The sequence below is a fragment of the Homo sapiens genome, chromosome 6 (assembly GCF_000001405.40).
Source record: "Homo sapiens chromosome 6, GRCh38.p14 Primary Assembly".
NCBI lineage: Eukaryota > Metazoa > Chordata > Mammalia > Primates > Hominidae > Homo > Homo sapiens.
The window spans coordinates 96,521,736-96,536,727 of NC_000006.12; the positions used below are offsets into that span (position 1 = coordinate 96,521,736).

The 14,992-nt window shown below is 34.4% G+C and overlaps 1 protein-coding gene across 1 annotated transcript in view, besides 2 other annotated features; it reads left to right on the top strand.

The window, feature by feature from the left end:
- Positions 1-531: part of an enhancer, noted in NCBI's record as "NANOG-H3K27ac-H3K4me1 hESC enhancer chr6:96969271-96970142 (GRCh37/hg19 assembly coordinates)", that runs on past the window's edge. NCBI's record gives its function as "activates a minimal SCP1, AML or CMV promoter by ChIP-STARR-seq in naive and primed H9 embryonic stem cells {active_cell/tissue: H9 hESC(naive and primed)}" and the evidence as "EXISTENCE:reporter gene assay evidence [ECO:0000049][PMID:30033119]".
- The window catches only part of UFL1 (UFM1 specific ligase 1), a 33,471-nt gene continuing 18,549 nt past the window's right edge, over positions 71-14,992 (top strand). The window contains exons 1-8 of the mRNA NM_015323.5: positions 71-215; positions 1,411-1,556; positions 2,647-2,675; positions 3,562-3,659; positions 4,586-4,700; positions 6,767-6,897; positions 12,528-12,586; positions 14,509-14,655. Coding sequence (NP_056138.1) covers positions 139-215; positions 1,411-1,556; positions 2,647-2,675; positions 3,562-3,659; positions 4,586-4,700; positions 6,767-6,897; positions 12,528-12,586; positions 14,509-14,655 — 802 coding nt within the window. The 5' untranslated portion in view covers positions 71-138. The remainder of the gene's footprint in view (positions 216-1,410; positions 1,557-2,646; positions 2,676-3,561; positions 3,660-4,585; positions 4,701-6,766; positions 6,898-12,527; positions 12,587-14,508; positions 14,656-14,992) is intronic.
- Positions 532-1,403: an enhancer, noted in NCBI's record as "NANOG-H3K27ac-H3K4me1 hESC enhancer chr6:96970143-96971014 (GRCh37/hg19 assembly coordinates)". NCBI's record gives its function as "activates a minimal SCP1, AML or CMV promoter by ChIP-STARR-seq in primed H9 embryonic stem cells {active_cell/tissue: H9 hESC(primed)}" and the evidence as "EXISTENCE:reporter gene assay evidence [ECO:0000049][PMID:30033119]".

Genomic DNA, 14,992 nt, shown 5'->3' on the forward strand with positions numbered 1-14,992 from the left:
GGGCGCAAGCGTTTGGTGTGTCTGCGTCGGGGGCGGAGCCTCTTGTCCCTCTGCGCGGCCCGTTCCGCCTCTCTTCTCCCACCGCCTGTCGGCTGACGTGTCTGCAGTTCCTCCGCGTCTACTGCGAGTCAGGCCGTGATGGCGGACGCCTGGGAAGAGATTAGGCGGTTGGCGGCCGACTTCCAGCGGGCGCAGTTCGCCGAGGCCACGCAGAGGTGCCCGACCCTCCCTCTCCTTTGTGGAGCCCAAATTAGGCCGTGGGCGGACACGCCTGTATCTGGGACTTTAGACCCGCGGCCCTGCATCCCGGGTCTTCTCGCTGCTTGTCACCATTCTCTCCTCCTCCCTCTGTCCCGAGCCTGGATCGCAGTTCCAAGTCCAAGGCTCGGCGGGAAAGTCCTCAGCCTAGGACGCCCTGGAGCCCCCCAGCCCAGCTGCAGCGAAATGCTGGCGCGCCCCGCCCCACCATGGACGGGGCCGGTGATTTCGAGCTGCCTTTATTGAGCATTTCTTTGACCCTCCCTCACCCACCAACCACCAAATCACTGTGACATCTTGGCTATTATACACTTCCTGATCTAGAATGAGCTCGAAAGGAGAGGCTAACCCCCGCCCCCAGTACAGTACTTGGCAAATAGTATGTTGATCCTTAAAACTTCTTGCCCTTTTATCTCTCGTAACAGACCTAGGGCTAGACCCCTGACCCCATCTGTTATTCAGGGCACTGACATTTTCTACAAGCCCACTAACCTTTGGAGGATGTGTCCAGAGGAGCCTAACTCTGCTTTTTAAAAATAACGCTAATAGAAGCCTTTCTATTCTTTGACTACTTCCTACCTGCGATGTTTTATTCCTTTTGAGCCGGAAGACAGCAATCCCCTTATGCTGTATTTTCTACCACTGATAGCAAACTCGTAACTGCATGGGTAACTAACGTGGGTAAAAGTTATGGTTTCACTAGGCCACATCCCCTGCCTGCTTGCAGACCATGTGTGTAAGTGAGGCAATTATGCACTTAATTTAAAAGAAAATTCTGATTAAACTGGAAATTAGGGCATTTTTTGTTTTGTTTTGTTTTGTTTTTTCTTTTTTCCTACCTAAATAAATGTCTTCAATTTTCCCTTCAGATTTGAAGATTGGAAGCAGGCCTGTAAGAGACAACAGACTTGAAATTTGTGATGGGATGATGTGTACCAATTAAATAAATGATTTAAGCATATGTAAACCTACTTACTCTGAAAGGTTTTTTTTTAACTTATTGAATCAGTTAGTGAAAAATACAGATATTGTGATGTAGAAGTTAGTGACTAAACAAACTTTTTAAAAGCCTGTTTTCATACATTGTATTAATTTTATTGAGCGCCAATGTCTCAAGTGGACTTTTGAAACAACTTTTTTTCTTTCCCTCAGGTTGTCCGAGCGGAACTGCATTGAGATTGTTAATAAATTGATTGCTCAGAAACAGCTAGAAGTAGTTCATACACTCGATGGAAAGGAATATATTACTCCAGCCCAAATTAGTAAAGAAATGAGAGATGAGCTACATGTCCGAGGTGGTAGGTAATTCTTTAGTGTTTTTTTTTTTCTTGGATTTTTGGAAGGGGCAAAACAAACAAACAAAACCCGTAAACATGTAATTGCATACTAAATTATAGATTGTAAGATATCGTTTTCAATTGTTAATTTGATAATCAGGCTTAATATTTTTACTGGGTTCATGCAAACATGGTCATATAATTTAAATGAACTCAAATGTTGTCACTTAAAATATTTTATCATTTTGAGTTATGTGTACTATACATGAATTAATTGTTTCTTTTTACAATTCATTAATTTATTGCATGACTCAGGGAAGGGTATTCAGCTGCCTTTTATTAGGTGGTAATTGTGAAGGGGGACAGTATCTTACAGGATTATAGATTTTTGAAAATCAAGGCTGTATTTCTTTTTAAGGCTTACTTGTACTTACAAATTAGGTAACTCAATCCAGTGTGGTGCTACACCAATCATATTGTATGAAATGCTGTTAAAAACACGCACAAAGTTGGTTTCCTTTGTCTTCTTAAAATTTGAACAGACTACCAAGCATATTTGAATACTATTTGATTAAAATAGAAGCAATTATGAAAGCCTCTCTTCATATTATCAGAGTGTAACATTGGTCTTTGTCTTTTTTTATTTATCTATTTTCCTTCATAGTACCTTTAAAATATGAGCTATAATTTGAATTACTTAACAGATTTTCTTATGCTGATATGTAGAAGCCTACCTTTTAGTATCAAATAATTGAAAAAAAGTTCATCTTAATTTAGTTGTCAATATCTCTTTGATCACAGTAGATAAATTCTGAATTGTGAAGGGAAATGAATACCCTTCATAGATAGAGCCAATTTGTGTGCCAGTTGGTGCTCATAATTGGCCTGATGTTATTTAAAAAAAAAAAAAAAATTGAAAGTAAGTTATTGCTTATGGCTTCAGCCATGAAGACTTAGCCATCAGCTAATGGTGTGTATTTGAAGACATTGATTATTCTGGCTCTCTGTTCTATGCAGGACTTTGACCAAAACTTAAATGTTAGAATTTATAGCTTTGGGTTGGTATGTACGCATAGATCATTTAAAATAAATGAATGTCTTTTCTTCAAAGGTCGAGTAAACATTGTTGATCTACAACAGGTAGGTTTTAAATTTATAAAATTTTTGCTTTACTTTCTCAATTTTTTGATACTGTGAATTTGTTCAAGTATTCACTAATGCTGGTATCATATTTTGTGTAGTGTTTATAAAGAAATAGTTATATAAGCCTCGCTGATACACTGAATTGATTTAACAAGTTCTGATACATTAAAATGATTTAATAAATTCGGATTTATTGAAATGATTTAATAAGTTGGCCTTATTAAAGAGTTGGCCAACTCTTCCCTAGTTGGCTTTCTTATTCTTAACTTTTTACCAAATGAACTCATAGTTATTTTATGTAAGTATAGAGTTTATGTCATTTTGGGAGAAAAGTCACCAGTTTCATGTTTATATGTTTTTAGTATATGAAAGTAATAGAGAAACATTTTTAAAAGTAGAAGCTATTTTCAAAATATACAAATATATATGTCATTACCAAGGTACACTATAAACAAGAAGCCAGCGAATTTTCTGTAAAATGCTATCTGTTATATGAATATGTAATTTACTGCTTTATATAAACTTACTAGCAAGTGACAGTTTAATTCTTCAGAACTGAAAATAACTAAGCAATACACCTCTAATTTTTTATTTGGCCAATGCTTTTCGTATTATTTCAGATTGATTCAAAATTTAAGAATAAGCAATTTCTTTCTTTCTTTTTTTTTTTTTGAGATGGGAGTCTCCCTATGTTGCCCAGGCTGGTCTCAAACTCTTGAACTGAAGGGATCCTCCCGCCTCATCCTCCCAAAGTGCTGGAATCCAGGCATGAGCCACCATGCCTGGCCGGCAATTTCTTTAAAAATATAGTTCTAAGTATATAATTTCAAGCTTAAGAAACAATACAAACTAATCATTAATAGATTTTGTATTTGTTTTCCAGGTAATTAATGTGGACCTGATTCATATTGAAAATAGAATTGGTGACATTATTAAATCAGAAAAGCATGTTCAGTTAGTGTTGGGACAACTGATAGATGAGTAAGTACAATAAAGTACAAATTTAAGAGCACTTTGTTTATTTTCTTTCTTTTTTTTATAGTGTTTAAATTTAGGCCAATTATGGCCAGTTAGACATTTCATTTATAACTCTTACAGTGTTGATTTTCATGATAAGGTTTATTTCACTTAAAAAGTAAGTGTTTAAGCCACATATGGTGGCATGTACCTGTAATCCCAGCTACTCAGAAGGCTGAGGCTGGAGGATTGCTTGACCAGGAATTTGAGACCAGCCTACGTAACATAGCAAAGATCCTGTCTCAAATTAAAAAAAAAAAAAAAAAAATTCAGTGTTAATGTATGGAATACTTAGAAATAATATAAACTTCTATTTTTTTCTTAATAAGAAAACGTAAAACGTAACTTTTACGTTCCTTCCCGTATAATCTTAACTCTGAAAGCAAATTTGTTCCAAAAATGTTAATGAAAATCAAATACAAATTTCCACTTAAAAAAATCCCAGCATGCCAGCCTGGGCAACATGGCAAAACCCATTTCACTAATTAAGTTTGCTAATTAAAAAATTAGCCAAATGTGGTGGCTCGCACCTGTAGTCCCAGCTACTCAGGAGGCTGAGGTAGGAGGATTGCTTGATCCCAGGAGGTCAAGGCCACAGTGAGCCATAATCATGCCATTGCACTCCAGCCTGGGTGACAGAGTGAGACCTTGATGCAAAAAAAAAAAAGAAAAAGAAAAAGAAAATGTATTGTTTGATTAATCTTACATTTAGCTACACTAATGAGAAAAAAGTATTTGTTAGAATATGAGTGATGAGTGGTGTTCATGTACACACACATTTCATTACTTTTGGGGCATACTTCATTTCAACGGAAATTAAACATAAAATGAGGAAACAGAAAAAACATTCCTAATTCTTTTTTCTATTATTTTCTTGTTTTCACTATTAGGAATTATTTGGATCGGTTGGCAGAAGAGGTCAATGATAAATTGCAAGAAAGTGGTCAGGTCACCATATCAGAACTGTGTAAAACTTATGATCTTCCTGGGAACTTTCTGACACAGGTATTTTTTTTCCTAATAATACAATGTGTCTTTTTACCAAAGGATTTTAAACGAAGACTTTGAATGGAAGGGGGAAAAAAAAATGAGACTTCCTCACCATCATTTGATTTATTGCAGGTGTCTGACTTGATATATGTTGTACCAATATATTTGGGGGGTACTTCTAGTACATTAATGGTTCTGAGGAGGCAGTTTAAAAATGATTGTAATCATCCTAAACCAAGAGACACCCTAAAACTAATTTATAGACTAAGTTCTAGGGCTGCTTTGATGCAATTAGCAAATGTACAATAAATGCATGGATTTATTTAATGCTTTTGATACCAGCTATATAGAAACTGTAACCAGACAATTAAATTTCTGATTGCCCAGTTAAATTTTAAGAAATAATTGATGAAGATAATTTATAGGGGGTACTACTGGCTTCTTGTGAGTAAAGGTCAAGGATGCTGCTAAACATCCTACAATGTACAGAACATCCTGCCAACAAAGAATTTTTTTGTTCCAACTGTCAGTAATGCCAACATCTTTTGACTTCACCATTTATCCTCTTCTAAACAGTCAGTATGATAGGAAGAAGAACCAAGGAATCTGACATTCTCTTAACTTTAGGTATTTGTGTCAGTACTCAAATATCTTATGTGTGATAACAATGCTGCCTGAAAACATAGGCTATTTTCTTGTTTACTTTTTTCTGTTTTTTTTTGTTTGTTTTTTTAGAATCATAGAAATTCATTTGGTAGAGTGGAAAGGACATAAGCTTTTGAGATTTTTAAAAGACCTTGATTTGAATACTGTCTGCACCACTTATTTGACATCAGGAAAATCATTTCATCTCTTTTATGCTTCACATTATGTATCTGTAAAACAGGAAATATTGTCTTTTTTATAGGCTTCATTGAAATCTAGTGAAATATCTTAACACAATGGAGAAACTAAATAATGCTAGTTCTTTTTATATTTACTGAAACAAGGGAGAAGCCAAATCTCTCTTTAGGTATCTATCACTTTAAGAAACTCCAACTTGCAAAATTGGCCAAACCGTAATTGCATGAGATTAATGTATAATACAAGCAGATTTACTTACTCATATTAAGAAAATGAGCTTCCCTAATTCCATTTAAAATACCATTTATAGTATAGATCTGTTTTATGTAGTATTTCAGGAGCTGAAATTATATTTTACATGGGCAAACATATGTTAATCACAGGACAAAAAATATATTTTTAAAATACTTCTTTAAAGTATCCAGCTCAAATCCAAATGATTTCTTATAAAACTGTTTCTGAATACATTTTAGAAACGTAGTTTTTAATATGTTTCAGTTCCATTCTGAATATAGCAGTATTCTAAAAGCTCATTAAGTTTGAAAAAAACATTTTTCTATATCATAAAAATAATGAGCTGAGCTGACTTGAGTAGATTTAACTTATCTTAAAATGTGAAATATGTCCAGACTTATTTCAGATGTACCTGATGCCAGTCGTAGTATAGCTGTGGAGAAATACTCTGCTGAACTTGAAAGAAGGTTACCAAGAAGTCAGATTATCTGCCATAGATCTTCTGGACGGGGATAAATTTGCATTAGAGAGGAAAGCTTTTGAGGTCTTATGTTTCCCTATGTTGCAGAATCTGGAATAACATTTATACTTTTAGTATTAGAAGCTCCAGAAAGGGTCTTCTCCAATACCCATTTGTATGTCTTGGCTCTCTATATATTGGAGGCTGCCTATATCTAGAAACCATCATATCAAATAATCATCATATTGATAGTCATTTTTATGTTAGAAATAGCCCTCATTAACAAGAGATAATATGACAGCTCAACCTTTTAACATGTAAGCAAGCAATTTGACTCATTTCTTGGCTCTGCCATGAGATAGTGAACTTTGCTAGACACTGAATCTTCACTTTAGTTGATATATCTTGTAATCTATGCTTGTTGAAACTTCTCAATCACATGACTGATACCTCAGCATGCAGCATGACTTGAGTATGACTATGCAAATGCATATGTGTAATTCTTTTCTTTTAAATTAATAAAAATGTACATCTTTACCCACAGGCACTAACTCAGCGACTTGGTAGAATTATCAGTGGACATATTGATCTTGATAATAGAGGAGTAATTTTTACGGAAGCTTTTGTAGCTCGACATAAAGCACGTATCCGTGGACTATTCAGTGCTATTACCCGGTAAGTATATTTTAAAGTATATATATTTGCACATTTCTTTGATCATGGTTTGCATTTTTTTCCTAGCAGCGGAATCTTTTTCTTTGTTTTAATAAAGTCTCATTTAGGACCCCAGTTTATTAAACAGATAAAAGGGCAGCTTTTGTAAAATAGAAATTGAGATTCCAGAGTTCTAGAATGCAGCCTCTCTCTCCAGTCCGCATCTCCTTCCTCTCCCTACCTTCACCACCCTTGTGACCCCATACACACTTTTGCAGAGTGCAGTTTAAATACTGCTGCCCAGATCAGTATATAAGTGTCACCCTTGAATCATGGAAAGAACATGCAATTTAAAGTCAGAAGAATTTGGTTCATAGCTTTATCACATAATAGGCACATGACCTTGAGCAGATAAGTCAGTCACCTAACTTCTTTGGGCATCATATGGGGCTAGAGAATTTTATGACATTTTTTACTTTCTAGCATTCTGTAATTGTAATGAATAACAATGTTACTTGCAAAGTCACTGACTTTTCTAAAATAAGAATTTCTGAAATATTTGGGTCTGTGTGACAGACTCCAGCATAGAATTCAGAAAACCTATATTCTCAATTTTCTCCTCTCTCCTGTGTCATCAACTTCATCTCAGTGGCTATATGCCCTATCAGCATTTAAATATGTCCAAAAGTCTCCCATTTTAAAACAAACCTCTCTGAACCCCTTTATTCTATATCATCTATCATGCTGTTTGTTCCCTCTCTTAAAGTGAACCTTCTCAACAGTTGAAATCTACATTCAGTGTCTCAGTTACCTTCTGTCACTTCTTAATCCACCTATCTAGCTTCTACTACATATATAGCACTGATGTCTCATTATCTGTAAGTCTAATGGATACTTTCCGTTTATTTGACTTGACTTTGCAGCAGCATTTAACTCCAGTTACAACTTCCTTCTTGAAATACTCTTTTTTTAAACATAACACTTTAGATTTCTTCTTCTCTCTTTTGGCTGCATCTTCTAAGTTACCTTTTCTAGCTCTTTCTTTCACTATCCTTTAAAGTTTCACGCCATCTTTTCTTCCCAGTTCTGTGCTGTCATCTTAGGTGATTTCACATGGCAGCCACAGTGATTTCCCTTTTTGTCATTCAACAAATCAACAAGCATTTGTTGAGCACCTAATGCATGTAAGGCACTGGGGTACAAAAGGGAGAAGGTTAGAAGGAGAGCATGTATTCTAATGAAATGATTTCCTCCCTCCCTCCCTCAGTGCAAGAGAACTTTTTTTTTCTGAACAATTTGAGAGGAGGTTGCTGACATGATGCTCTATCACCACAGATACTTTAATCTGTATTTCCTATAGAAAGGGGCATCATCCTATATAACTATAATACAGTCATCAAAAACAGAAAATTAACATTGATTGATTACTACCATCCAGTCCTTAGATCCCCTTTATGTTCTACTGGTTATTGTAATAATGTCCTTTATAGAAAAAGGATCCAATTCAGGATCACAGATTGCATTTAATTGATAAGAGTCCTTAGTCACCTTCAATCTGGAATACTTACTTGATTTTTCCTTGACATTCATGACCTTGACACTTTTGAAGATCACAGGCTGATTATTTTATAGAATGTTCATTGTTGGTTGTCTGCTGTTTTTTCATGTTATACCTATTTGTGTTATGCATGTTATGCATAATTTTTCATATTCAGGTTATGTGTCTTTTGATAGGAATATCTCAGAAATAACACTATATTCTTGTTATTGAATCATATCAGGTGGCATACAATTTAGATTTTTCCTAATAGAGATACCAGCTAGGCTTGTAAAGCTACTTGTTTTCCTTTGTAACTAATAAGTATTTGTCGGGAGGGCAATTTGGGACCATGGATGTTATCCTGTTCTTCATCAGACTTGCAGTTTATTCATTCATTTAAATCACTATGGACTCATGATTCCCTAATTTATTTATTGGATTATAATCTGCTGTCATTATTTACATGTTCATACTGGCCCTGATTTAGCTAGTGGTAGCGCCTGCAGGTTGCCTTTTGCATACCCCCATCATTCTTGAAACTTTCTTTTCTTTCTGGCTTAAGATGTTCCAGGCTCAGTTCATACTTTCCCTGTCCCAAGCCTCAAATCAGCCCTTTCTCCAGAGATCCCTGCTTTCTTTTAGCAGAGTATGGGATTTAGAAACCAAGATCTGGATACTACATTACTTATCACTATTCGGTTCTCACTGCTCCCAGGCCCTCTCAAAGTAGACAAGCTAGCACAAGGGCCCTCAATCCCCAGGCTGCCAATCAGTACCAGTCTGTGGCCTGTTAGGAACCAGGCTGTGCAGCAGGTGAGGGTGGGCAAGCCAGCATTACTGCCTGAGCTGCTCCTCCTGTCAGATCAGTGGCGGCATTAGATTCTCATAGGAGCGTGAACCCTATTGTGAACTGCACATGCAAGGGATGTTGGTTGCACGCTCTTTATGAGAACCTAATGCCTGATGATCTGAGATGGAACAGTTTCATCCTGAAACCATCCCCCACAACCCGGGTCCGTGCAAAATTTGTCTTCCATGAAACCAGTTCCTGGTGCTAAAAAGGATGGGGACCGTTGAACTAGGAGATACATATACACATGTACATACACCCCTCTATACATCTGTATTTCTGTATCTTTATGTGTATTGAAAACTGTGAGTTTGTGCTGATACTTCCATTTCTAGTCCAATACCGTAAGTTTCATTTCATTCTAGTTTCCTTCTTTTCCATGTTTGTAGCTTTGTTCACTGACTAAGAAAAATCTAACTCCTATTATCCTTAATGTATTTAGTTACTTGATTAATTCCCCTTATGTGACTGGTTTCCCATTGCTACTGCAGCTCCCTTTCTCATGTGGGTGTTCTCTTTATTCCATGTAGGCTCTGACAGTCTGTGCCACATCACCCTCCTAACACAAGAAATGGGTGGTTGTTTCTGGGGAAAGAAACTGGGTAGCTGGGTGGTAGGAATGGAGAGGGATTCTTCAGTTTTGTAACTTTTTTGTACCCTGTTCATTTATTACTTTGTCAAAAACTAAAAACTAAAAATATCTTTGTTCCTATTTATAAATATTTACCTTTTTTCTTTGACTAATTATTGTGGTGATGGTAATTTTCATCAAAATCAGCTGTGTTTTTCTCATTCATAGTAGTCCTGAGTTTCGCTATATGGAGGTACCATCAAATAATGAGAGGAAAATAAGTTTTGAGCCTCAAAAGATGTTGCTAGGTTGTGTGGCTTCCAGATAGTACCATTTAAGGCACCATATCTTTGTATTTGTCTCTTAAAAATAACGAACCATCCCACTTTTCTAGTCTAACTTCAAAGGAGACACCTGCATCTCTGACTTTTAAAAAGTTTATATTTTTTGTTTTTATGGATATTTCTTGTTATCATGGATAGCCAGAGAGAAGAGCAGGAAGCAGTTAGTGAGAAGAATGATGTATGTAGGTATACTAAATACGTTGTATTCCAAATTGACGTAAAAATTCAGCTAAAGTTTCATCATACAAAAAAAGCTAGAAATTTTGCACAACTCAATTCATTGTTTATTGAACACCCACAATAAGCTAGGTACCTAGACATTTTAAGATGAAGTCCTTCAAGGAGCCTTCTACATTTTTGTAAGGATGTGTTTGCGTAGAAGGGAACAAAAGACAAAAAACATGAGAGGTTGTAACAATTATAAGGTAAACAAAGGAGAGCAAAATTCACAGAGGACCTAGACCTTGTTGGTTTGGAGGTTTGCTATGGTTTGGATGTGGTTTGTACCCACCAAAACTTATGTTGCAGTTTGATCACCAATGTGGCAGTATTGGGAAGTAGGGCCTAGTAAGTGTTTGGGTCACAGGAGTGGCTTTCTCATGAATAGATTAATGCCCTCCCACCAGGGTGAGTGAATTATTGTTCTCATGGGAATGGATTAGTTCTCAAGAGAGTATATTGTTGAAAGGATTATGGCTTCATTGGTTTCTCCCCTTTGCTTCCTCTTTCACTATGTGATTTATTTATACATGTCTTCTCCTTTTCCACTTACCACCGTAAATTGAAGCAGCTTGAAACCCTCAAAAAATGTAGCTGCTCAATCTTGAACTTTCCAGTCACCAGAATCATGAGCCAAATAAACCTTTTTTCTTTGTAAATTACCCAGCCTTAAGTCTTCTGTTATAGCAACACTAAACTGACTAAAGCCCCTGCTGTGCTTCCACATAATTTAGCTGAAAATTTTGAGTAAAACAATTTAATAAAAAGCAAATTGATCCTAAGAATTTGGTAAAAATAATAATTTACTCAAAAACACAGAAGTTTTAAATAGTCAATTTATTTTCATACAACTGTTTCTGCTTTCACAAGTTTGAAGTAGAAAATATTTACAATATTCTAAATAATCAACAATGGAGGATTGAAATGTTAGAATTACTTAAGTCGTTTTGTTATATGCATTAAAAATGAAAAGACTAACCTTAACTAGAGAGAACAGGCATACTGGCTTAAAAGGAATAGAAAAGAAATTGTAATCAGAATAAAAAGTCTAGATTCTTTTCTTGTATCCTTTAAAAAAAAAAACTATAGTTATTACAAATGAGATACAGTCATAGGAGTCCACCCCAAAGAAATGAAAACATTCATCGATACAAAGTCAAAAACATAAATGTTCATAGGAGCATTATCCACAGTAGCCACAAACTAGAAATAGTTTACCTGTCTGTCAGCTGATGAGTATATAAACAAAATGTGGTATATTCATACTAGGGAATGAACATCAATAAGAAGGAATGAACTACTGATGCATGCTTCATCATGGATGAATCTCAAAAACACAGAAAGGAGACCACATATTAATTCCATTTATGTTAATGGCTAGAAAGGCAAATTTATAGAGGCAGAAAACAGATAGTTATCTAGATTTAGGAGTGGCAGCAGGAATTAACTGCAGATAGCTATCAAGTAACTTTTTGGGTGATGAAAACATTATAAACTGGATTGTAGCAATGGTTGCACAACTCTATAAATGTATTAAGATCATTGAATTGTACACTTAAACGATGGGGTAGATTTCATGTAATTTAAATTATACCTTATTGCAATAAAACTGGTTAACAAAAGAAATGCATAGTCATTGCAGAAAATAGAAAATACTCAAAAGCAAAAAAAAAAAAAAAAAAGATTTTAAATGGATCCCTCTCAGTCACCCTAATCTAGCCTCATGTCATTCCAAACATTTTCAGTGCACATATGATCTCATTTTTCTTCAAAAATGGAATCATATGACATCCACTTGAATATTCCCAAGTAAGGAAAGAGCCTCCCAGACAGAAAAAACATTGAAGAAAAACCTAAAGACCAAGGCAAATAGTTACGTATCATGGAAATCTGAGAATTTAGTGGAATGGCAATGTAAACTGATCCTTGATTGCAAGTACAAATTGATTTCCCTGATATTTCAGTAGCAAAATTCCAATTAAGGATTTAAAATTTGGTGTAATTTTTGACTTTATTTTTTCTTTTAAACAGTATTTTTCTTAAATTCTAATTATCCTATTTTTAAGTTCATTAATCTATAACACTATAATGAGTAAGAAGTTTTTTTTTTTTTAACTTTCCATAAAGGCCTACAGCTGTGAATTCTTTGATTTCAAAATATGGATTTCAGGAGCAGCTTCTTTACTGTGAGTTTGGTTTAAATTATATTTACTTAATTAGCTGCTGAATAGACTATTAATGTAAAACTTACTAACTTTAATGTTTTTTCCTCTTTTATTGTTAATGTAACTAAAATATTTCCTGGTTTAAAAAAGTTTCTTTGTATCAAGTTTTATATATGTACCTATCTGTTACACTCACCAAACGTTTAATATTGGTTAGCCCTAGAGGAGTATAATGAAAAAAAAAGTAAGCATTTATAATGAAAATATATGTCTCACACACTCTATTATACATGTACATATAGAGATTTAAAATTGTAAGATTAAGAATAGTTTTTACTTTGTTTCTTATGATTTTGTTACATTATCTAATATGAAAGTAAATTGTGTTTCACTAACAATTTTTACCAAGAGCTGATAGCAATAAAAGTATATTCTTATCATTCAAACAACATATTAACTCGAAAATAATCTTTGTTCATTATGTTGTTTGTGAAGCTCTTGGGAGGTTTTGAGGGTTTTTTTTAATGCTTTGCTGAAAATTTTTAAAAGCAATGATTTTGTCTTTCAACTCAGATTATCTGTGCAAATGTAAGAACTAAAATGAAAAATGGAAAAGAAATATCAAGTATTGAACCAAAAATTAATTTTCACTGTATTTTCAGAATATGAACTTTAAAATTTTTGTTTGACTGATTTAAAATTAACCTGACTTTGTTGGAATCTATATAATTAGGAGTTGGTATAATTTCATTATAATGTAAAGTTCTTCAAATAATAATTGGTAACTTCACAACTTTGTTCAGAATTTAGAATGGATTTACATTGTACAGTCATACTAAATTGAGGATCGTGTGTTGTAGTCTGTTGAGAAATCCGGACTTTTTTGATGTATTCTAATTTACTCAGCATTGCAATTTTAAAATTCATGCACAAACTAATTTTTATTTCCATTACAGACTAATTTTCATTAGCCTTTCTTTTTGCCAATCATCTTTTGAATGTGCTTGCTGATTCACTTAGAAATAGCTCCCTTCCATCTGCTTTTTCCTTTTTAGAGGATTTTAATTTCTAAAACAAAATGTTTAGTTAAATGTTATGGTTTAAATAAAAATATAAATTTGCTATTAATGGCAGCACCTTCCGCTTCGTGGTGGTGGTGATGGTAGTGATATTTAGTTAGTATTTATTATTGAGTCTTTATTATATGCCAGCTACTGTTGCAAGCAATTTACTTGAATACAACAATTCTATGAGATGATATTGTTATTATCCCCATTTCACAGATACGGAAATGGAGAAATAAGGAAAATGACTTGTCTAGTGTTTCATAGCTAGTAGGTGGCAGAGTTGAGGTTTAGACTTAGTCTGACTCCAACATTGATCCTCTTAACCAAGGCATTACACTTCTCTTATAGGTAGGGCTGAAATGTCTTACTTCAACGTAAACAGCGGAAATGGAATAACTCTTTAAACTGCTTATAGTTGTATTTCACACTACTGATTCTATTATAGTCTAGGTGTCTTGATTTTTTTAAATATTAAAAAACGGAACTTGTTAACACTAATAATTGCATATTACCTGTTCTTGAAGTGTTTTATCATCTGTTTTTAGTAAATTATGAGATAGATAATGGCATGCTGTGTTTTCACCAAAATTACTCAAACTAAAAATTTCAGTGTTAACATTAACTAGCTTGAGTTACAAGTTCAACACCTTTAGCTAGTTGCCAAAATGCAAAACTTCCCTGAATTTATGTTTTGAATATTCTCATAAATGGCAGGAAAATTTTGTCTAAAATATACTACCTTTATTTATGCTATTTCAACTTCAGATTGGTTTTTTAAAGGTTAAGAATAAGTAAATTATGAAATAATAAAGTATTTTACTTTTTAAGATTTATACCTGGTCTGATTTATTTGTATTCATGTGGGTTTGTTTTAAGCTGTGCTTGAGGAACTTGTTAATAGCGGACGCTTACGAGGCACTGTGGTTGGTGGGAGACAGGATAAAGCTGTGTTTGTCCCTGACATCTACTCCAGGACACAGAGTACTTGGGTGGATTCCTTTTTCAGGCAGAATGGCTATCTAGGTAACTTTCTTATTTCTTTAAAACTAAAATTTATTTTTAACACTAAACTCATTCTTTAAAAGTATTATACTAACCCTAGAGTCCTCCTTTGATCTGTGGGTTATATTAAAAATAATAATAAATAAAAATTTAAAAATGGGAACCCTAGAGTTTACATATACTGTCCTCTCTGATCAGAAGATTATAATGGTTCCCTTTGAGTATAAAAGTAATCACACTGCGAGTTTCTGTGGGTCTTGGAACTGAGTTTAGTTCTATAGTTACTGAACAATTATAATGTAAAAAGACTAAAAGCTGGTAGTAATCGCTGCCAATCTTTCAGTTACATTTATTAAGA